The 24707-nt window shown below is 36.5% G+C and overlaps 1 protein-coding gene across 2 annotated transcripts in view; it reads left to right on the forward strand.

Annotated features, from left to right (window-relative positions):
* Window positions 1–24707, forward strand: part of UTRN (utrophin) — a 567700-nt gene that overhangs the window by 446518 nt on the left and 96475 nt on the right. For both annotated transcript variants that reach the window (NM_007124.3, NM_001375323.1), the window contains 3 exons: window positions 16394–16662; window positions 19954–20100; window positions 22868–22946. In NM_007124.3, the coding sequence (NP_009055.2) occupies window positions 16394–16662; window positions 19954–20100; window positions 22868–22946 (495 nt within the window). The remainder of the gene's footprint in view (window positions 1–16393; window positions 16663–19953; window positions 20101–22867; window positions 22947–24707) is intronic.

The raw sequence follows: 24707 nt of genomic DNA on the forward strand, positions 1-24707 counted from the left end.
TTATTTCTTTTCTTTTTCTTTTTTTTTGAGACAGAGTCTCACTCTACCACCTAGGCTGGAGTGTAGTGGTGCGATCTCGGCTCACTGCAATCTCTGCCTCCCAGGTTCAAGCAATTCTCATACCTCAGCTTCCCATATAGCTGGGACTACAGGTGTCCACCACCACGCCCAGCTAGTTTTCATATTTTTAGTAGAGACGAGGTTTTGCCATGTTGGCAAGGCTGGTCTTGAACTCTTGGCGTCAGGTGATCTGCCTGCCTCAGCCTCCCAAAGTGCTGGGATTACAGACGTAAGCCACTACACTCAGCCTTATATTTGTTATTTCTATCTTTGAAGAATTATTCCTTTTGAGTACTCTGTTTTATATATATATATATATATATATACATATATATATATATATATACACACATATATATATATATACACACATATATATATATACACATATATATATATAAAAAATGTATACACACACACGTACATACTCATGTGCACACACATACTGCCATTAATTCCACATTCTCAGCCTTTTGTGTGTAGACTTAGAATAGTTTTAGGCAGAATCTGTTGCTACTTTTGGTAGCATTGGTCCCATTGCATTGTTCTGTCATCTGTGTGCAACACGTAGTATTTGCCCATATATTCTCTCTCTTCCACTTTAGTCTACTACTGATAAGTAAATCTTATCATGTAATCATATTCGTGTTTCTCCCCTGATTATACATCTTTCTTGACTTTCCATTGCATACTGAAAAAAAATCTTGGCCTCCAGCATGACATTTATTGTTTCATTTTATGTCATGTTATGTTATGTTATGTTATGTTATGTTATGTTATGTTATGTTATGTTATGTTATGTTATGTTATGTTATTTTGAGACAGGGTTTTGCTCTGTTGTCCAGGCTGGAGTGTAGTGGTGAAATCACGGCCCACTGCACATCAACGTCCCAGGATCAAGTGATCAATCCTCCCACCTCAGCCTACTGAGTAGCTGAGACTACCACAGACTATCTTTTTTAAAAGTTTTTGTAGAGATGGAATCTCATTGTGTTGCCTAGGTTGGTCATGAACTCCTGGGCTCAAGCCATCTTCCCATTTTGGTCTCCAAAAGTGCTGAGAATACAGCCATGAGCCACCGTGCCCAGCCTAGCATAATATTTATTTTAAAAATCTTTGGATCATCACCTTGAATGCAAACATGCAGCAATTAGGCATATAATTGAGACTACTGATTAAAGCACACAAATGTGATTTCTGTGCACATATGTTGCACTCTGAAGATATCATTTGCTGAGCTTAGGGCTATTTTGAATATAGCACATTTGATCAAATGGAACACAATCCTTGTACATTACTGCCATTTGGAAAACATACTGCTTTTGGCCGGACGCGGTGGCTTACACTTGTAATCCCAGGACTTTGGGAGGCCGAGGCAGGCGGATCATGAGGTCAGGAGATGGAGACCATCCTGGCTAACACGGTGAAACCCCGTCTCTACTAAAATACAAAAAATTAGCCAGGTGTGGTGGTGCATGCCTGCAGTCCCAGCTACTCAGGAGGCTGAGGCAGGGGAATCGCTTGAACCCGGGAGGCAGAGATTGCAGTTAGCTGAGATAGCAACCCAGCCTGGTGACAGAGTGAAACTCCATCTCAAAAAAAAAAAAAAAAAAAACTTTGTAATTGAAGCCCTCCTGATTTTTCAACAAATTTTTTACTACCATTTTTATAGTTCCATAACCAATCTATACTATCTACTTCCTTGAATGATTTTGGAACTGTCTTGTCATGGATGTGCTACCTTCCCTTCTTCCATCTTTTGAAGTTCTTTCAAAAGAACATTTTAAGGCTTGCTTATGTCCTTCATATACAATATTAGAATGGTTAAGAGCCTTAGAGATGAACTAGTCCAAGGCTATTCACTTAACAGATGAGAAAACTGAGGTCCATCGAGGAAAAATGAACTGCTCAGGTCTCAGCCCAGTCCTGTTGGATATCTAACATATGCAGCTATTGTTTGTATTGATTTTCAGATGTTAAAATTTTCTTACTTGCCCTAAGTTGAGGAATCCAGTTTTGAGCATTTTATAACCTATGCAATGCCTGTATATATCAGGTACTCAATAAAAGTTTGATGAAGAGTACATGACTACCTGAGTAAATAAGAGGTATAAAGAAATTCATTTATTTATTATTCTGACTTCATATACAACCTATTACAAGAACATTTTTATGAGCTAGATGCTTAACAATGATTCCTCTCTCACCCCTCCCCTGGCCGCCATCACCATATTTAACAACAAGGAAAATGAGCCCAGATGTCTCATGTACCCCGTAAATATGTATACACTTACTGTGTACCCACAAAAATTTTCAAAAAAGGAAACAAGCCGAAACTGTAGAGAATTCTTTGAAAGAGTTGAACTCATCAGTACTTGCTTTTCCTCACAATCTTGAGTCTATAAAGAATAACTGTAGATGGGAGAAACTGATATTATCAGCAGTAGAGTAATTGGATTATTGATTTTTAAGATGAAATGGAAATAAACCCCAACTTTTCTAGAATGAGCACTCAACATTTACGAAATTCCTTTCCTATATCTGTCAAGAAGCCCCTGCCCCCTCCCGTCACCCTGAGTCCATTCTTCCATCAGTCTTTGCATCTTACCTCATGCTCCTCCGTCTTCTGGGTTGCTCGGGCTAAAATCCACTGGGCCGCTCTTGGCTCCTTTGTCCTTTTGTCACCCAAATCCATTCTGTCAGCAAGTCCTGTCATCACTACATTCAAAAGGTACCTAGAATATGATCCTTTATCACCACGTCTACTATGCTTTCCTGGTCTAAGCCCCCACTACCCCTTGGATGATTGCAGGTTCCTTCAACTCATCTGCCTGCTCTGCCTTTGCTCCCTTATTAGAGATTTCCAACACAATAGCTGTAAGGACCATTTGAATATATAAGTCATGTCATGTGACTCAGAGAAGTCAGATTCTTATAATGGCTCACAGACTGTATGCCAGGGGGTGCCATGTTACATTTCTGACCTGGTCTCTTATTATTGTCCCTTTCGTTCCACTCCCTGTAGATGTAAGCTCCTTGAAGACAGAGGGTTATTTTTTTTTCACTGCTGTATTTTGTAATATTTAGAATACTATCTGGCACATAGTAAGTGCTTATTACATAGTGTTTGAAAGAATACGCATGAGCTGAGCACTGTCCAAGATGGATAAAGAAGTATAACGCATGTTCCTGAGGTTTCAATTTAGTGGGAGATCAAAACTAGCACAGAGCGTGAGAAAGCAAGCAATGTAAAAGTGTCCGTAGTCATGCACTCAGTTGTGTCCTGAGGATTCTAAGTGATGCGGGCATTCCAGGAGAGAAGGACTCTGAGGGTCAGAGTGGAGAGAGGTTGATTCCTGAGCTAGTCTTAGGGGTATGGACAGGTAGGAAGTGATTAAGTTCGGGAAAGAGGAATGGCCATGCTGGGGACAGAATCCTTAGCAGAACAGCTCAGCCATAAGGAAAGAGCAGCTGTATTTTGGGGAGTCAGTAGACAGCCTGGCCTGGTTGCCAGAGTCTTGTGCCTGGACGGCAGATGGGGATGAGATGGTTGTATGTGCTGAATGGTTCAGAGGACCTGGAAAGGTCCTACAGAGGACCTGGAAAGTCAGGCAGAACATTGTAACTTCATACAACAAGAAAGAAGGTGCTAGTACAGTTTTGTTTTTTTAAGCTTGGGGAAAAAAATAAGAAGTTCACTTGTCTCATCTTATCCAATTTAAAATCTACCTTCAGTCAGCTTTTCTTGTCTCCTTTCTTCCCTAGGACTTTGCGAAGTTTATAAAAAGCTACTTTAAAGCAGTACAAAGTGTTACATCACTAAAACGCCACATTATTCTGGACTCTTCTCAGTGGTCAGTCATTTAAGGGTTAAAACGATATTGTATAATTTAAAAAAAAGTTTCATGAACATTCTAGTCATGCGTCATTCATAGTGTTGGTGAGGAAGTCATTTGGGCACACATGTTTCAAATCCCTAATAAAATGTCTAGAAAGATACACAGAAAAAAAAAATACTGGTTTTTGAGTTCTTATTTTACTGTGACATTCAGGATGTTTTAAGCTCCATGTTTTTAATACTACATTTGGGGGGACAAGAAAAAAAGAAGTCATGTCAATTTAACTTTATGGTTTTTTTTGTTGTTGTTTGTTTATGATTAGCAATTTTCATACTGCCTCCTTTCCTGATACTATTTTCTATAACAATGGCTGGTTTTACTTGTTAAAAATAAATCGAAGAAAACTATCCATAATAGCTTTTATACTTTTGTTGTTTACCATGACTTATGTACATCTGCTATTAGAAGTAGCAAGCATTTGAACATTAGTTATCCTGTTTGATGCCGAAGTACTCAATGTTGGAGAGGTTAGATCAGGAAGAAATCAAGTGATTTTTTTCGGTTCTATTTAATAAGCATTTTGTGAGTATGTGATGTGTACCATGCTATAAGGACATACCAAGATGGAGTCACCTCTTTTCTTTTAGGTAACCATTCTAGAAAACACTTTCCTCCATGATTTTTATCTCCAATGCCTTTTTTTCTTCCAGTTCCTTTAAATTTTTTCCATTACTAATTATCTTATACTGTTGTATGTATTTTTAAGTATTTAAAAATCACTATTAATTGACCATTCCACATTAGTTTCCTCCATACCAATCTTATGCTAGGCCTATTTCAATATATTCTTAATTGGCATTTCTCCATTAACATAAATCCTAAAATGATAAACCTAAAGCACAAACCTGGCATGAGGTTTCCTGGAGATAAAAACTGCCCGTAGTGCATGCCATGGGATCTGAGCTCCTCCACCTGGCACAGAAGGCTGCACAGCAATTTGTCCTCAGCTTTTCCATCCGGCCCCACCTTGTGCCTCTCTTCACTCCACTCTTGAGGTTTGCTGGGAGCCAGGCTCCTCACTACATTCTGCAGGTAGTGGTCTTCCTTGCCTTTGCCCCATTGCCCATCCCAGTTTTCTGCCTGTAGGTCCTCTGACCTGATTTCCAACGCTTGCCTCATTTGCCCACGCAGCTGCTGGTCATCCTGCCGGCTCTGCTGGGGCTTTGTGTCTTCCTGGACGCTTTCCCTTCCCGAGCTCTCTGCCATGATTCCCTGGCACCCTGTGGTCTCTCTCACTGTGTTTTCCAATGTCTGTGTCTGAAGCTTGGCCCTTCCCTCTTTTTTTAGTGATTACCCTCATTGATGGAGAGTCTGAAAGAGTGTAAAAAAATGATCTGAGCAGCCAGGATAGAGATTGTATGGAAAACATAGTGCAGATCCTTTTCTTAGATCATGGGAAAGCCACTGAAGTACTTCTCAGAGGTATTAACTTCTGCTGTAGACACTGGTGCGACTGTATGAACTTGATGTCCGGTGAGTGATGGGTAAGTAGCAAAATGAAGTGACAGGACAGGGACAAAGATTAATGGTAAGAAATGACTCCAGCTGTCTGACAGCAATGAGGAGAAAGAAATGATAAAAAGATATGCAAGAATCCTAAAATAAAACAAAACGAGGTAGTCTTTGGGACTTTCAACAGTAAAAGAAAACTGAAGCTGTGAATTATGGTGTGTGTATTTCTGAAGACAGAATATAAATCAGTTAAGAGAAGGCATAGGAATTTATATTATATTTTAGTAAATTTTCTTCCAAAATGGTAACCATAAAAAAATAGGGCTAAATGGGTAAAATGTAGCTCTTTGGAAAACTCAACTACTCAGATTTCTGCTTATAAATGGCTATTAAGTAAATATGATTTTTAGCTGAACTAAAATTATCTGAATCCTTGTAGAAATTTTACCAAGTTCACAACTTTGTCAGTAGTCCCTGACTTTTGTTTGAGCAATATGGAAATACTTAATTTCATTTAATTTGTATCATGTCAATGTATACTTTTTCCTTTTAATGCAATTGAACTGTTTTTTTTTTTTATTTTAATCCCTAGTTTGTATGTGTTAGAAAGTATCACAGTACAACAATCTCTCATCCTTTGCATTGTTCTTTGTACTTTCCAAGCAACTTTCATATTCATTCTCCTGTCTATCCCAATGAGTTGAGCCGATCATACAGTATGATTTTTTTTAAAAATAAAAACACAAAGGCCAAGAAGATATTATGGTGCTGACCAAAGTCATCCAGCTAACGAAAGGTAGATGCAAGAACAGAGCCCTATGCGTCTATGACAATGACTTCCTTAACCTCTGGATTTTGGCTGGCTTTTGACTCATCCCTTCGATTTTATCTCCTCTATCTGTGTTCACTGACGGCCATCTGGCCCCTAACTTCCTAGCTCCTCCTTGATCTCAATGTCTAGAGCCTCTTAAACTTGCATCCATGTTTTCTGGTCTCTCCCTTGTGCTGCCAGCCTCCCCTGGCTGTTCTCAGTACCAGATCAGAATTCCTGTGTGAACCACACTGCTGCACAGTGAAGCTGTGCAAGACAACAGCCTTCACCCACCCCTACCCCCAAACCTCCAGAGGGAATTAGGGAATATTTGTGCCTTCTCTCCTGTTCATTACCTTCAGTTCAGTTTAAAAGTCAGATCTGCACAGGGGAGTTGGAGCCTTCTGTCGGTCTTCCTCTCTCCATACCACATACAGATGCAGGCAGGCAGGCACGCACATGCACAAGCACCCCCCACCAAACATACTTTATGATTTAAAGCTAAGGTATCAATCACTAAATAAAACTGCTAACAATTTTATAGGCTATCTCACCTCTAAATGTGTTTAGAAAATTACACAATTCATTGTATACATATGTATGGAGAAAACACCTGTCCTCTTCTTGTGATATTTTTAGATTAAAAAAGAGATTGCATTATTTATCCACCAGTTTCCTCAGGAATCATCTTTAAAAATTATTCCAGTTAAAGAATTACTGTTACTACAACTACTATTTTATTTAAGCTGCCTGAATATCATTTCTGTTTCAGCCTGGAGCAGTCAATTTTGCTTAATTTAAATATTTTATTAATAATCATAGAAAAACCCAGCTATTACTTAATTTAGTCTATTTGTGCATGTATAGTTGAGTATAGTGGGTATAGTTGTGTATGTGTGTATGTGCATATACAACTTTATATAGTTGTGTATGAATGTATATGTGATGAATAGTTAATAATAATTTTTCAGATGAAAAAGTATGTATGGGTTAATGTTTTCCTCTTTGGTCCTTTGACAGATGGCTATGTATATTTAGTACATAATATGGTATGTAATATTTAACTCAGGGTATACTGTTTAATTTTTAAATATTTCCTGATATTTTAGAAAGCCAAGTATTAAGACTATTTTTCTTCCCTGTAAAATCTCATATATTTTGTGATACAACGAAGAATTTATAAGTGACATATTCAGTCCACTATGTCAGTCCACTTTATGCCAGTATTAGCAAACTTATGCAAATACAATTTCATAGTTATTAAATGAGTGAAGATTTGAAATTATTATATAGTTTAGTAGAAGTTACTTTTATATTCTCCATATAACTTAAGGTTACAACATTATTTTCTTGTATGTAATAAAATGAGGACAAATTACACATTAGTTAATAGAAGTAACTGGGCTAGTAAAACTAATGGGTGTTTTCTCCCAGGGCTTTTGTTTTCCTCACTAACAACTTTATTAATTGGAGCCTCATTCATTGTAAATGACAGGCACACAGCTTCCCTAAGTGTAGGCATGAAGGGGAAGGCATTGGCCTCCATAACCGAGCCACGGTAGAGACGTAGCTGACCACAGGGACTGGAATACCACCCAGAAGGCTTTTCTCCATGTCTTCTTCTCTGCTTCTCTGTACAGGTTTTCATTTTCTTAGCTTTCCTATGACTGTATAGCTCACAACCTCATACCAGGAAGGGCTCACCCTTCTTTAGATCCAGAATATTCCAGGAGAGGGCTCTGGTTGACTTGGCCCGAGTAACATGGGACTCAGGGACTGCTAGGATTGGCAGACCTTCTTCATAATATCATGCTAAATGGAGGAAGAATCCAATCCCATAAAGGAAGGGGAAAGTGAAAAATGGTAGTAAATGCAGACATTCCCAACAAGCCAGAATTTCACAGGTGCTGACCATGTGCCACACACTGTGCCAAGAAACTTACCTACCTTGTTTAATTGCATTCTCATAATAATTCCTTGAAGGGTGAATACTTACCACCCATTCTACAGATGAGGAAACTGAGAGTCTGAGAGGCTTAGAGGCATACTGTCTTCTATGTGACAGAGCCAAAATACAAACTAAGGCTTATGTCACAAAACTTGATGCTCTTAACTGCCATAGTGTACTATCTTAAACTACTTCCGTAATAATTAGTATTTGTAGCTATTCAATAGAAACAACATTTTATTTTCATTTTCTTCGATTTTAAAATAATTCACACAGTAATTGAATATGTTTATAACTCTTTGCTTTTTTCTTTATTGTTGCTCTTTCTTCACTGAAATACCACGCTGCATAATGGAATCATAAACAGTTCACTGATTTCCTAACACCGAGGGAGAAGGTGTCTAGGCAATATTAGACTTTGTCTTTTTAATTTTCATATAAAAATTTGAAGTATAAGTAATTGCTTTCAGGCCTATAGACCACGACAATAATTTCATTAGCTTCTCAAGTCCAAATTAGATTAGTAAAGTTGTAATGCATGAAAAAGCGCAGAAAAATATAATGTTACTTTCTTTTCCGGTGTTCTTAACTACAGAGCAGTAATGTGATTTTTCACAAATTAAAGTTCTATAATATCTGTATGAATATAATGCATCTAGTCTTCAACTTTTCTAAAATACAACGAGCCAGCTGAGTAAGCCCATCGATTGGGTAAAAATTTGGAAAATGTTTTTCATGCTAACTCCTACTGTAGTAATAAAATCTCATTTAAATAAACAATAGTCTTCATGAAGAATTATATGATAAAGATTTGTTTGATAGACATAGCATTTTCAATTAATTGTTTACCATCTGTTATGTTCTCTAATCAGTGTTACAGCCATTCATAAATCACATTTGCCTCATAAAAAGATGGCAATCGTTTACACGTGTGTATTTTATTATAATCAGCATCTGAGACATTACTTTCTGATTTAAACATAAAGGACCGGAGGATACAAGACTCTTTGAGCGTGGTATAATGTACTTATGTTTTGTGATTGTTGTTGTTCTTAGTAGAAAACTGGAATCTTCCAAGAATTAGAGGTTTTGCCATTTTTTAAGAAGTATAATCCTAGCAAAGGCATGAATTCTCCTCTTCAATTAAACTCATCACTTATTTTGGCAGTACATAAACATAAGCCATATTTAACTTATAAGAATGGCAGAGCATGGGTAGAAAGCTCCAGACTTCTCTGTAGCTCGATCAATCACTAGGGGCTGTGTTTAGCTGGGAAGCAGCCTGGGGAGAGATGGGCAGTCATGTGGCAAGAAATAAAAGACTTTGAATCTAAAACTCCTGTCCTTTGATTCTTGAAAGAGAAAGGGGAGAATTTTCTTCTTTATTTTCTTTTTCTAGTTAAAGATATTGTACAGAGATTGATTTATGCATTTAACAAGTACGTTTTGAGTGCCTACCATTTACAAGGGGGGTGTTCTAGATACTCGGGATACAGTAGTAGGCAAAACAGATGTTTTTTTCCTCCTGAAACATTCTCAGCTTTTCCTCTTTCCTTTTATTGCCACCTGCCTGCCCCCAGTGACCCATCTGTTGATGTCCAGCCCAAAGGAATTCACTTGAATAAATCGCAAAACTGCCACTACTTGGAGGAAATTCAGGGATTATTCCTGAATGAAGAAAATGGAAAGATCTCAGGTTGCTTAGCGAGGCCCTGGTTGTCTGTTCCAGGGTCTCTTTGCTCTTCCTGCTTCTTTCCTTGGAGTTGCGTCTGTCTAGTGGTTGGCCCCTGCTTCTTCCTCCACTCAACTCTGGGCTTATTTACTTTGGCCACTTCACAAGAAGAGTAAACCTTGAATGTATTTAGACTCCAGTTCTGCCTCTATTGACTTCAGGTCAGTGGTGCCATGTAGCTCCCTCCAAAGCGTGTTTTGTATTCTGAGTTCCCCTTCATTTGTGTCCCCTCTCTTAATAACTTGCATTTACTATTTGTGGAAGGTAGTCCCTAAATCTGTTTACTTTTGAGGTCTTGATGTTCCCTAAATATATCTAGGTTCTCTTTTCTTAAAAAAAGAAAAAAAAAGAATTTGAGAAGTCCACTGGCAGCATGGATGAATCTATGCCATCTTTATCATATCTGTATTGAAAGATTTAGGCTACATATTAACAGGTGAATCTGCTCTGAGTAGCCTCTTGTTATTGTCATCCTTATAATTTATTAAATGGACATAATTAGAAGCACTAATCAGCCGTGGCACTTGATGATGTACTTGTAATCTGGCTCATAATGAGTGGTTGTCATCAGTTATTGTACAGAGTAGGAAATGGTCAGGGCCCTCTCAAACACTGATTGAACATTTCAGAGTTATTAAATGGATCTTAATCACTTTATCAGAAAATTAGGAAATAATGTATTTCCCAATATTTTAATCAGAAACATCTTTTGGTCATGAGGAAAGAGAGAGAGAAATAGGAGGGGGGTAAAGAGAGAGAGATATTGAGAGAGAGCAAGTCAAGTCTTTTCCTTTGAGTTCTTATTGGCTAATCAACCTGGTTTGCTTATGTGAAAATCTCTACAGATATCTAAGCCTCCCAGAGCTAGTTATAAAATAGTAAAAAGGAATGAAAGAGTAACCTTCCTCAAGAACCTACTGTGTGCCACACATGTGCCAGTAGCTTTCTATGTATTAACTGAGGTTGAAAGAGATAAGGAATATATCTAGGATTATGTAACTAGTTAGTATTGGAACTGGCATGCAATCTCCTAATCTTTTCTTCTACCAAATTGTCCAACAGTAAAAATGCCAGTTGTGAATTTTTTTCTTTACTTGATTGTTTTAATATTTCCTTTTCGTCTTTTGGTAGAATAAAACAATAAGATTATAGATACATGCAAAAAAGCAAATAGTATAAATAAGGTATTTGGAATTACCATACCTGAAATGACTTTGTAAGGTTGATCCTTCTATTTCACAATAGTTTTTTTGTAAGTGCTTTACACAGATGTGAGAAGGAGGAAGAAAAATGAAGTGAAAATATGTCCACTTAAAAGTGTAAAGTTGAATGTTCTCAATAAAGAGGAGCACTAAAAATTCAATTCCGTCCAACTCAATTAAGTAATTATATACTGAGGACATACCAATCTCTAGACTGGCTACTATAAAATCAATATGGAAGGAAAGAAAACATTCTTGACATTGGGCTTTAAAACGTAAGTGTAGAAAAGCCACAATGGAGATTACAAATGTTGATATCATAATTGAGAAAAAAACACCATACATATGGGAAATGTTTATTAAACAATAACACTGGGCGAATTCTAATAAATATCTATCATTATTTCATGGGAGAAACATAGTTTCATTTTTAAAATTTAAAAAATAGCTTTGCATAAGCACTCAAAGGAAGAGTTTTTTTTCCTCTACTATCAAGATTTCTTTGAGATATACAGAGGCTCAACCTTCTTACATAATTGAATTGAGGTAAAATAGACTCTTGAAATAAAATATTTTTCTAGCATGAGAAAATAGGGTTTGCACTTGATAAAATTGGGCTGGGCAGGTCAAGTAACTGGCCTAGGGGCAATGGGCAAAATGGGAGCAGGACTGATTCCAAATCCTAGTCTCTGTTCCTGGTCCAGCTTTGGTTTTTCACCTGCATTCTAGGGAAGTGTATTATAGTCTTCTTCCTCATGGTATAAAGGAGAGCGTGGCATAAATGCTGTGCCACTAATTTGCATATTTGAAGAAGTAAAGGTAATTGGATGACAGAAAACATCAGGATTGATCTTTCCTTTTTCCTCTCTTCCTTTGTCTTCTTCCTGTTTCTTCTTTCTAAAAGATAGTTATCTGTGGTCCCTTAAATAGCTTTGTAATGCAATAAATAAATTGGTGTTTAAAAATTATGAAATATGAATATAAAATAATATTCATAATACATGATACATAAATATATAATATAAATAAATATAAAAGTATAAGTAAGAGGCTAGGTGCGGTGGCTTATGCCTGTAATCTTAGCCCTTTGGGAGACTGAGGTGGGAGGATCACATGAGGCCAGAAGTTTGAGACCAGCCTGGGTAACATAGTGAGACCTCATCCCTAAAAAAAAAAAAAAAAAATTAGCTGGCCACTGTGGCACATAACTGTGATCCCAGCTACTCAGAAAGCTGAGGTGGGAGGATCACTTGAGCCCAGGAGTTTGATGCTGTGAGCCAGGCTTATGCTACTGCACTTCAGCTGGGGCAACAGAGCAAGACCCTGACTAAAAAAAAAATGGTGTATACATATATATATATATATGTGTGTGTGTGTGTGTGTGTGTGTGTGTGTGTATAAAATTTTTAAATATATAGATATATAAAAATTATGTATAATATATACATAATTTTACTTATGTATAATATATACATAATTTTACTTATGTATAATATATACATAATTTTACTTATGTATATTATACATAAATATATATATTTTCTTCTGAGTAGTTGAGTGTATATGTACGTAATATAATTCTACCCTCAAATTTTGGCCAGTTCAATGGGAAGACCCGAAGGGAGGAGAATGGAGAGTGACAGGGCATACACACACACACACACACACACACATACACACACACACACACACACACTTTAGAGAATAGGAAAGTGACATAGGAAAAAAAAGTCTTCTGATCTCAGAATTGCTAGCAAATTTATTTGGTTTTCTCCTGCTGTTTCCTCTGTCTCTAGCATTAGCCTCTATTACTGCCTTTCCCAATGCAAATTAGATTACCCTCTTATCACTGAGCTTCATTTGCTCTCTGGCCTCCAGTATTTAGTGACTGTGCTCTGTGTTGACACAAGAACCCAGTGGAGTGGAAATGTCCCGTAAGCTTCAGCTACATGGTCCAGAGAAATCAATTTATATGCCAATAGGCTAGCCACATTCCATCCTGACAACCTGTTAGAACCACCTGGGGAGCTTTGGCATCTATCTATCCATGCCAGACCTTACGCTGACCAGGGAAATCACTACCTTTTGGGGGAGGGTTCCTGGATTATCAGCCTTAAAAACTCACTCAGTCCCTCACTGTGAGGGTCGTTTCTAACATGACACCGGGGTTCTTCACTGGTGAAGCAGATTCTCTGCTTCTACTTGTAGGTGGTCCTTAGCATTTACCACAAATACCTATTCAGAAAATCTCAAGTAACATTTGTCCTTTGATTTTCAAATGAGAGTACTTTTTTTTTTAAGAATGCAATAATTTCCCTTTTTTTCATTTTTTTCTGCCTTTTAGATGTTTGAATTTATTTATTATTTATTTTACCCCAAATAGTCATACCTTCATATTTCACATGTCGCTTCTTCTTATGTATTTCACAGACTTCTAGAAAGTTTTTGTTTTGTTTTTTACTTTGCTCTGTGCTTGGCTTAAAGTATGCATTCAGCTGAGATTGTTGCTGCACTGGGAAACTCTTATTTTGACTCAAAAGTGATTCGTTGATATGTTTCCTTTCTGGCAGACAGATGGTGAATTGAACACAGAGCTTTTCTTTTCTTCTGAGTAGCTTCTTGAGTGGGGATTATGTAATAAATACTGCACAAGGACTGCTCAATCAATAAATTTTTACATTAAGGAAAGATAAAAACGTCAGAGGCAGCAGATGATGTTTTGTCACAAGACAAAGAACCCATGGGCCTCCCTGTGCCAAGTTATTTAATGTCTGACAGAATGAGTTTTTACTTTATCTGAGGAAAATTACCATAATTAAGTTGTCCGTTCTGAAATGAGTAGTGTATTTCTTTTTTTACAGTAGTCAATGCTTAAGATATATTTTTGAAAAAGCCCAAGTGACTTATTAACAAACACAGGTGTTTAATCATAAAAGTTACCACCTCTCATGAGACTAAGAATGATTTTTTTATCTTAGACATAACATTTTATATTTATATAAAATATATACAATATAAGTATTATATATTCATCATTTTTTAGATATCTTTTTTTTTTCCTGAGATGGAATTTTGCTCTTGTTGCCCAGCCTGGAGTACAGTGGCACATTATCGGCTCACTGCAACCTCTGCCTCCCGGGGTCAAGCGATTCTTCTGCCTTAGCCTGCTGAGCAGCTGGGACTACAGGCATGCGCTACCATACCCAGCTAATTTTTTCGTATTTTTAATAGAGACGGGGTTTCATCATGTTGGCCAGGCTGGTCTCAAACTCCTGACCTCAGGTAATCCACCTGCCTTGGCCTCCCAAAGTGCAGGAATTACAGGCGTGAGCTACCGCACCCAGCCTAGATATCTTAAAGGTATAAGGATTTAAATAAAGTTTGTCTTTCTAATGATACACTGGCCTTCAGAGAGCTGCTTTCTCAAGAAGCCTTTGCAATCCTGACATGTTGCATGTTTTAGGGCTTTTCTCTGGGCTCCTAGACAGTTACTTGAACCTGTTTCTCTAATTCACTTATTTTTTTATTTTTATTTTTATTTTTTTGAGATGGAGTCTCAACTCTGGCACCCAGGCAATGGCACTGTGTCGGCTCACTGCAACCTCCATCTCCTGGGTTCAAGCAATTCTCCTGGCCCAGTCTCCTGAGTAGCTGGGATTACAGGCACCCACCAGCACACCTGGCTAGTTTTTATATTTTTAGTAGAGATGGGGTTTCGCCATGTTGGCCAGGCTGGTCTCCAACTCCTGACCTCAGGTGATCCACCCACCTCAGCCTCCCAAAGTGCTGGGATTACAGGCATGAGCTGCCACACCTGGCCTCTAATTCACTTATGTTCTTTATTTATCTTGTACTGGTATATTCAGCCTATCTACCAGTTGTGATGTTTTCTCTTCTTCCTTCAGTTCAGCTGCCAAGAGATTTCTGAAGTTTCCTGTAGACTTCCACCACTTAAGCAGCACAACTTGTAGTTCTGCGGTTGCTAAATATCAATGTCTAGAATTTTTTTGAAATTTAGAGAGACAAACATATGTGTTCTGTCACCTTTGACTTGGCTTTTATATAATATTTAAATAAAGCAGGCAGACCAATTTACACTGAGGATGAAAGTTACAGTTTAGGAGAGCTTGCTTCTGTGCATTTTATGGTGAAGTTCATCTTATGATGATCATTTTCCAAGTGATTTGGAACATTTTGAGGTGAAGTGGAAATTGCTAATGTGATGTGTACTGAAAGATGAGATGTTATCACAAAGAAGAATGTGTTTTCTGTCTCAAATTAATGTACAGTTTATGTCAATTGCACTGCCTCTTTATTTGCAGTGGACAGTTGGATACCACCATCAAACCAGCTAGATAGGAAAGGAGGTATTTTAAGGTGTAGAAGATAGTGAGGCCCCAGGAGTGTGGAGCCATGCTGGAGACCTTTCTAAGCTGTCTTGAGAATTTCTCCTCAGTGTTGACTGCATTCCTCTGCCCTTGCTTTACCAGCTCCCCATCTCTTATATTTCTGACCCTTGGCTTTGAACTTGACTTTGATTTCTGTCTGTATCCTTTGCTTCTCCTCTGGACTGTTCCAGCCCACATCCTGTGGCCTGTCCATGTGTTATGCTTGCTATTTTTATCTGAAACTCTAAGTTTATTTCAGGCATTGTGGAAGCCCCCTTGCTCTATTACAAACTTAGGATGGTCCTTGAAATCTTGCTATCTTCCTGCTAAAATGTCTGTGGGCTGCAGATGATGCCCTTTATTAAAACTAAACTGCTAAACAGCCTTAGAGAGATGATCACTATCTAAGGTATGTTATTTGTCTTCAGTATTTATTTTTAGGAACACAATACATTAATCTTATTTTCTGAGAGTTTTTGCTTATAATTTATAGTCATTCTTCATTAATTATACTTACCATTTCTCTTGAGAATACTGAAATGAAAAAGTGTCTTTGGATTTTGTGTAACTGAATTTATGATAAAGAAAAATTGGTTTATTTCTTGTGTTATCTTCTTACATTTCAGTGGCTTTAGAAATATATTAAAGTTCAAAAACCGGGTCAATTTATTAATCTCAGTAACTGTTTTATTATCCTTTTGAGTGTGTGATTAAATGTAGCAGAGAATTCATGGATGAAGTATGGAGAAATTCTTTCTTACCCTGGACAATTTTTACCCTGGAGTAATTTTTTCTTACTTTTTCTCCGTATTTCTCAGTAACGATGGTAACACTCACACTTGGCTATTAAGAATATATAATCAGACATCCAAATTATTCTTTTTCTTTTTTTTAATCACAGAATTAACTCCTGAGGAGAGAGCCCAAAAGATTGCCAAAGCCATGCGCAAACAGTCTTCTGAAGTCAAAGAAAAATGGGAAAGTCTAAATGCTGTAACTAGCAATTGGCAAAAGCAAGTGGACAAGGCATTGGAGAAACTCAGAGACCTGCAGGGAGCTATGGATGACCTGGACGCTGACATGAAGGAGGCAGAGTCCGTGCGGAATGGCTGGAAGCCCGTGGGAGACTTACTCATTGACTCGCTGCAGGATCACATTGAAAAAATCATGGTCAGCATCATTGTCTTTGAAGGATTTTTAAGAAATGTTTTCTTGTTAAATATAACACAAATAAAGAGAGCCACGTATATAAATTGTTATAAGGGATTGTTACAAAGCCAACGCCGCTGCAACCCCACCCATCAGGAGTCAGGACAGGTGCTTTCCATATGACCCTCATTGGGGTTCATTGGAACCCCCTGCCCCCAAATAACAACTAATGCAACTTTTATGATAATTTACATTTATTTTTATTTTTTATCCAACTGTGCATCTCTAGACAATGTAGATTAGGTTTACCTATTTTTAAAAAATATTTTTAATCCCCAGATTTCCCCTCTCTTCCTTTTTCCTTTTCAGTTTATTTGTTAAAGACACTGAATTGTTTGTTTTGTATTGATTCCCAGAGCCTGGATTTTGCAGAATTGTGTCCATATGGTATAGTCTCCAGGTTCCTCTCTACTCGGTATCTCTTGTAAATTGGTGGATGGAGATAGAGATTTAATCAAAAGCACACTCTTTTACTGGGAACTCTCATCTATAAATTGTATCTTATTGTATATTAATGAAGAATTAGTTTAGCTATAAATTCTGTTTGTAGTAAGGAATTGCCCAAAGCTATGGATGTTAGACTTATGGTTACCTCCCCTTTGGTTCCCATATTCTAGAACATCTCCTGAAAAAAAAGTTAATAAAATTTAGACAATAAGAGATATAAGAGATGGTTTAAAGTATACCCCAAATCTCATTGACAGTGTAGTCAGATAAAAATAAGTACTGAATTTTGCTAAATATTATTAAATATGTCAAAACAACTGGAAAACGAAATCCTTGGGGGTAATCAAATAATGTTAACTGCCTAAAATTATCATTAATCGTTCTTATTTACAGAATACACACCTTCTGGCAGGAGAAGGGCTTAGGAGTCACACCTGCCAACAGACTTCCAGTTAGCACCTTTGATACTAGCAGATGTTCTGTTTTTATGGCAAGGAAGGCCACATAGTCTTTTATTCTGTTATAGGAAAGTGCAGTCATAACATGATAAATAGGTTCTTTATGCTAGAACACACAGCAGTTCTGAAACCATTTTAAAACTTGCTTTATCTCGAGCCCCTTAATTTGGAAGCTCTTCAAAAACAAAAGATAAACTTTCTTGATAGAAAGACTCCTCATTGCCATATAACACCTGACCATAAAAAGAAAAACAAAAACCAAAGACCTTGTTTGTCAAAGCTTTTTAAATGTTTTAACCTGTGGCTTATATAGGGAAACATTATTTTTGGAGAGGAAAAATTTGAATTTCTTTTTTGTTCCAAAAGATTTTTAAAGCCTGTCTTGAAGTTATATTCTATTTGTTTAAAGTTTACTATCTTTTGAAATAAAATAGGCTATTATTTGAAATTATATGCATCTCAAAACATTTTCTGGCATTTCATTTTTAATCTTTAATAGATAAAAATAAAAAGATGTTGATTTTAAAAGCTAATTACAGTTCTTGAGTCCTCCAAGGTACCTACCCATGGAGAGAATATTAATGCATATAGCTAAAATCCTGACTAAAGAAACCTTGAAGGATTTGAATTCTGTAATTGTTCTCAAACTGAATCTGAGAGACCCAGACCTTTTCAAAGTTCAGACTGAAAAATCCCTTTGCCCACCCTAACCCACCCCTCCTCCTTCCCTGTGCTTCTATATTAATTGTGAATTTTTTACACTTATAATGCCTCTATTACCATACAACTGCTCTTCTTATTTAATTGTATTTGTGTGTTTTTCTGTGTGTGCACATTCTGTCATCCATTAAAATGCCGAATCTGCAGCAATGGAAAAAAAACTATCTCAACTCTTCTTCTCCTTCCATACTGAAGCAATTCCCATGAATTTGTATGCATCCCTTCCTCTACCCTGTCTTTGAAATGTTGGTAGCTGCAGGGTTCGGTAATATTTCTTACTTTACACATGTTGACTTCAAACTTCCAACATTCATAGTTCTCACCCTGACTCTAGTCTCTTAAAGAGACTTAAAGAGCCTCCCCACTTAAAGAGTGGACAATGTAGAAATGAGGAAACCTGAGGGCAAAGCTAATGGGATGTTTACAACACCTACTACTTCTAAATTTAGTTTGGTACATTATTAACTATAATTTTGTGGCCAATTTAAATTTAAACTGTTTTCTTTTAATATCCCAGTTCCATTATCCATTCTGTGTTAGCTTAATATTGCTCAAATATCATTTTTGTGGGCCTTTGTCAATAGAAATTAATTCTGTCTCTCTTGGATTGCAAGTTCTGTGCTGAATAGTGAGGGTCTATTCCCAAGCAGCTTCCATTCTTTACTGGGAACGTCAAGAATGTGGATGCTCATAATTACAATTTCTAAGTGCTCTTAGTAAGTTGTTTTAATGATTCTAGACCTTGCTCAGAGGTGGCATTTGTCAATTCTAAGACTCATTTACCTTTTTTCTGTAGACTCCACTCTTCCTGCCCAAGCCCTAACCACAGACAGTGATTATAAATGATTTTGACAGGGATAGATCTTACCTCTTGAGTCTGTAATAGGCATTGGTTTCATGGTTAGGAATGTTGTTTCTACTGGCCACTTTCTAATTTAATTTTAAGTGGAAACATGTTAAAATCAAGTTGTTGCATTTGGTGAAAAAATATTAAGGTAGCTATGTTAAAACAGAATAAAAAGAAAACACGAATACAAACTAAAGATAGAATCAACATTAGATATCAGTAAAGTGGAAAATAATGGCATACATTTTCCAGAGTAAACTGCATATAATAGAAAGCATGAAAGGAAATACATAATCATTTTAAAAGTTTGAATTATAATTTTTCTCTTCACACATTTATTTATATTTTTGGGTAATAAACAATGACTTTTTGGTTCTTCATCCAAGTTACTGAAGACCTGAATTAAGTCAGCTGTTGTTGAGTGGGCAACTGTAGTTGATTTCCTCTGAGCTGGCCTTGCCATTTATTTGGAAGTACAATTCCAGGACCCCGCATGTACCAAAACTCATGTATACTCAAGTCCCACATTTCCCCATGGAACCTGCATGTAGGAAAAGTCAGCTCTCCATATATATATGGGTTTCGCATCCTGCAAATACTGTATTTTCCATATGTTTGGTTGAAAAAAATCTGTGCATAAATGGACCCAGGAAGTTTGGTTGAGAAAAATCTGTGCATATGTGAACCCATGCAGTTCAGACCTAAGTTATTTAAGGATCAACTGTATTAGCTTTTGTTATATTCGTTTCCAATAATATATTTTTTGTTCTTTTCTTCTAGGCATTTAGAGAAGAAATTGCACCAATCAACTTTAAAGTTAAAACGGTGAATGATTTATCCAGTCAGCTGTCTCCACTTGACCTGCATCCCTCTCTAAAGATGTCTCGCCAGCTAGATGACCTTAATATGCGATGGAAACTTTTACAGGTATCAGCTTATTCCCCTTCATAATGCAGGCTTACACCTTGGGTGGTCTTTAAACCCTACCTCACTATATTACCACTCACCGTTTTCTCTTTCTTTGCTGATGGTATTTGATAATGAATTTAGCATGTGATGACATCAGGTATTTGTCTTTCAGTATCTTGAACCTAAAGGCCTCATTTATTTATAGAGTTTAATTTAATTTTTTGATGTACTATTCATATGATATTTGTAGAAAATTGCAAAAGGTTAAATAAATCACAGTAATTGAAACCTGTGGTAGGTCACAGAAACATTTTTCACATAATGGCTAATAAAGGAGTCATTTTTCTTACTTTCATCATGTATTTTTTTTTTCATTTTGAAAAATCAGGAAAGTCTCTATTGTTTTTCTTCTAACTGGTTGCTATTTAAATATCTTCCTTATTTTTTCCAGATAGCACATTTATACCAGTGGTGTTTACCTTTAGTTCTTAGATTTTAGCTAATGCAGTTGGTTTAATGACTCTAGACCTTATTTAAATATGCAATTTTGATGTAGCACATAAAAACATTTGAGAGATATATTTTATCTATAATAGGTTTGCTGAATTAATTCAAATATCAAAGCACTCAATGGTTCATATTTTCTTAATGAAATTGAAGAAGTAAGAAATTAGTGTACAATATTTTACAATCTTAGTCTTTGCAAAGAGTGTTAATAACCTAGGATTAGTAAAGCAAAATCTGTTAAATTTATGTGTTTTTCTAGTGGATGGAACATAGAAATATTTGTTCTTTATTCTTTTTTTTTCTTCTGCTCTGTTTCTCTAATTCATTATCTTCATGTGATGATTCTTATGGTCCATCTTGATTTACTTCCCATTCTATTTCTGTTATCACCATTTCCGAAGATTAGAAGTCGGGGAATATGTTATACTTGAAAGAAGATATGTATTCTGTCATCCTTATCTATGATCCTGGTAACCTCTAGAGCTCAGATGTTAGTTGCTGGTTGGAAAAGAAGAGAAAAATCTATGCTGGTGGGCAACACTGTTGAATTGCAGGAGTAATATTTTCTTTACTCATAAAGTGTGGCATTTGAAGGCTTTTAGGCCTTAATGAACAAAGTGCATACTAATGCAATTTAAATAGCTAGCCAGGAGGAACTAGTGCTGTCCAGGGAATCAGACATACACAGTTTCATTTAAGGACAGCTGCAAATGAGATTGTCCCTCTAAGTGGAACAGTAACTAGCATTACATGACCAAGGCTAGAAAAAGGAAATGGAAATGTCAGTAGGCTGTGTGCAGTTGTTATTGATTTGCATTTAGTTTCTCAGTTTAGTAACCCTTTACATTTTCATAATGCAGAGAACTAACTATAGAATGTGTATTTTTAAAAGGCTAGGCATGGGGGCTCTTGCCTGTAATCCCAACATTTTGTGAGGCTGAGGTGAGAGGGTTGCTTGAGGTCAGAAGTTTGAGACCAGCCTGGGCAACATAGGAAGAGCCTGTCTCTACAAAATAAAAATTAAAAAATTACATATGTGGTGTGGTGTGCGTCTGTAGTCTTAGCTACTTGAGAGACTGAGGTGGGAGGATCACTTGAGGCTAGGAGTTCAAGGTTACAGTGAGCTATGTTTGTGCCACCGCACTCCAGCCTGGGCAACAGAGTGAGACCCTGTCTTTAAAAATAAAACAAAAACAAAGATGTGGATAAAAGATGTAGAGTGTCCAACCTGGGCAGCATAGTGAGACCTTGTCTCTACCAAAAAAAAAAAAAAAAATTAACCCGGCATGATTGCACATGCGTGTAGTCCCAGCTACCTGGGAGGCTAAGGTGGGAGGATTGCATGAGCCCAGGAGGTCGAGGCTGCAGTAAGCCATAATCGTGCCACTGAACTCCAGCCTGGGCAACAGAGTGAGACTCTGTCTTTACAAACAAAACAAAACCAAAACCAAAAATGTATATTAAAAAAAATACGAAGAGTACATTAATATGCCTGTACAAACTGAAATATATATCTCAACCCGAAGTAGAGATGATCAGATACAAATTTGGAGGAAAATAAGATGTTGCATACTCACATGTCTTTTCATTCTCTGTTTATCTTCTACCACCTCACTCACTCTATCCTTCTAACTATCCACTATCTATGTACTGTCTATTTCTCTCTCTCACTCCCCATATATATATATAATCTATTATCTATCTAACTATCTAGTTTCCTAGGCTTCTTTTTCATTTGCTCCCCATAACACTTTTTACCATCTTCCTTACAAAAGAGAGATGAGTGGTCACTGATCCCATGACCACATTTTGACTTTAGAGGCTTTACAAACAATGTACTGCCTTAGAGGCAATGCAGAGTAACAGTTAGGGCACAGATTCTGGCACTGTATGACCAGAATACGAACAGGAGTGTTGCCACTCACTAGCTTTATATCCTTGGGTACCTCTTTGTGTTTTAGTTTCTTAATCTGTAAGATGATGATAAAAATAACCTTTACAGTTATTGTGAAGACTAAAGCGTTAATTTCTATAAATTGCTTAGAAGAGTACCTGGCACTGTTTACTATTATTTGAGGTCAGAAGGAGTCTTTTTTTTTTTTTTTTTTTTTACCATTACTCTGATACCAGAGACAGAGAAGGGGTCCAAGGGGTCTATATAAACAATCATATCCTGGGCAATAGCATCATTTATTATAGTCTTTAAAGCAAAAATATTATTAAAGTTATTGTTTCGGAATCAAATTATTTCCTCTGACTTGCATGTGTATGTGTGCAGGTTTCTGTGGATGATCGCCTTAAACAGCTTCAGGAAGCCCACAGAGATTTTGGACCATCCTCTCAGCATTTTCTCTCTAGTAAGTACTAATAAACTGGACTGATCGCATTAATTGAATGAATTAGCATTTTCTTTCACTTTAATTGAAGAAGCCGTATTCCTTGCTATAAATATGTTTATTTAGATAGATCCTTGTAAGGAGGTACTAACATCAAAGAAAATATTGCTTAATGGTTATTATTTGTAATAACGTAATGACAACTGAGAAGTCTTCAAGGTGGAACAGAAATGAACTCATCTTTAGCTATGGTTTCTCATTGGAATGTCTGATAACTAACATAGTATCATATCATCATTGCTTTGTCATAGGCAAAGATTATGAACTTTTTCATAATAAAGAAATCAGTTTTATCTTTTAAGGTTTTAAATTAATTTTTCTGCTTAAAATGTGCTTATTTAAAACACACCTTCAACTTTCAAAGTAAAAAAAATCACTCCCCATAAATCTTTAAGTGGGAAGATTTTGATTTATTAGGCTCGCTGCGATTATATTTAGTTTTTCTGCTATTCGAGTATTGCGTATGTAGCCAAACCACCTATGCAGAATTTTATGTAATATTTTTCAACTGGAATTGATAAATTTATGGACTATTCTTGAGATCTTCAATAAACAATTTGAGCTTCTACTTTATCATTCACTAGTGAAGATACTAAAGAATGTCGGATTTATAGTCAACCAGATTGAGTTTAAACATTCATTCTGTCGCTTACCAGACCTGTGAATTTCTGAAGGTTGATTTCTTTGTCTTAAAATACCGTATTACCTATTTCCTCTGATTGTTTTGAGAACTCAATGACAAGGCATATCGAATTACACAAAGCACCTAGCACAGTTCTTGACACAAATGCTTTCAATAAATATTAATTCCTTTCCTTTCATTTCCTTTAGCAAATATATGTAAGAAAGCAATTTGTTTCATTTAATTCAATTTAAGTAAACTTTAAAACTTAGGGCAAAGCTTATTTCTCAATTATGACAGTTTTTTTGCAACTATAACCATAGAAACAGCTAAAAAGTACTATATCTTCTAACTAAATTGATTACATTTATATTTCCTCTTAATGTTTTTGTCACTCTTGATAAACTGCCTTACCTCAGTTAAAGGTTGGGCTTTTCTTTTACAATTTCAAGAATCTTAATCAGTCATTTTCTGCCCCTTCCTGCCCTACACCTCTCTACCTCTCACCCTCCTCACTGCCCCCACCCCTACCTCAACTCCATACAGTTTTTCTGTTTCACAAACCTTAGACCTTAGGTAGTTAATCTTTGGTATACGCCTTCCTGGAATATACTGTGTACCTAGATGCCAGGACACATTTTTAAAGTCCAGATACCATCAATGTTGATGAAGTAAATAGGTTTGCTGTATACTTATTAGATTATTAAGTATTCCAGATTTCTAAAGCTCAGTTTTTCAAAATGTAAAGCTATGTACCAAGACCAAATGAAAGAGGAATTTACAAAATAATTGAGACTGTCTTTACAGTTCTAACTATCAGTTATCTTTAATATTGATGAAATGCTATACTTTCACCTAGCAATCACTCTCATAGTGGAAATCAAGCACATATTCTTTTGGAAGTGAAATATTGTGAAATTTATACACATTTTTGTAAAAGTCAAATACATGGCCTTGTATTATCTAACACTGAGAATCCAAGGAGGTAGAAGTTATTCAAATCAAAACAATTATTAAAATGAGTGGGGAAGTGTAAACAAAGTCCCAATTAATACATTTAATAATTGTTATCCTTTGCTGCTTGGAATCTTTGGCTTTAT

The sequence above is a fragment of the Homo sapiens genome, chromosome 6 (genome assembly GCF_000001405.40).
Source record: "Homo sapiens chromosome 6, GRCh38.p14 Primary Assembly".
Lineage (NCBI taxonomy): Eukaryota > Metazoa > Chordata > Mammalia > Primates > Hominidae > Homo > Homo sapiens.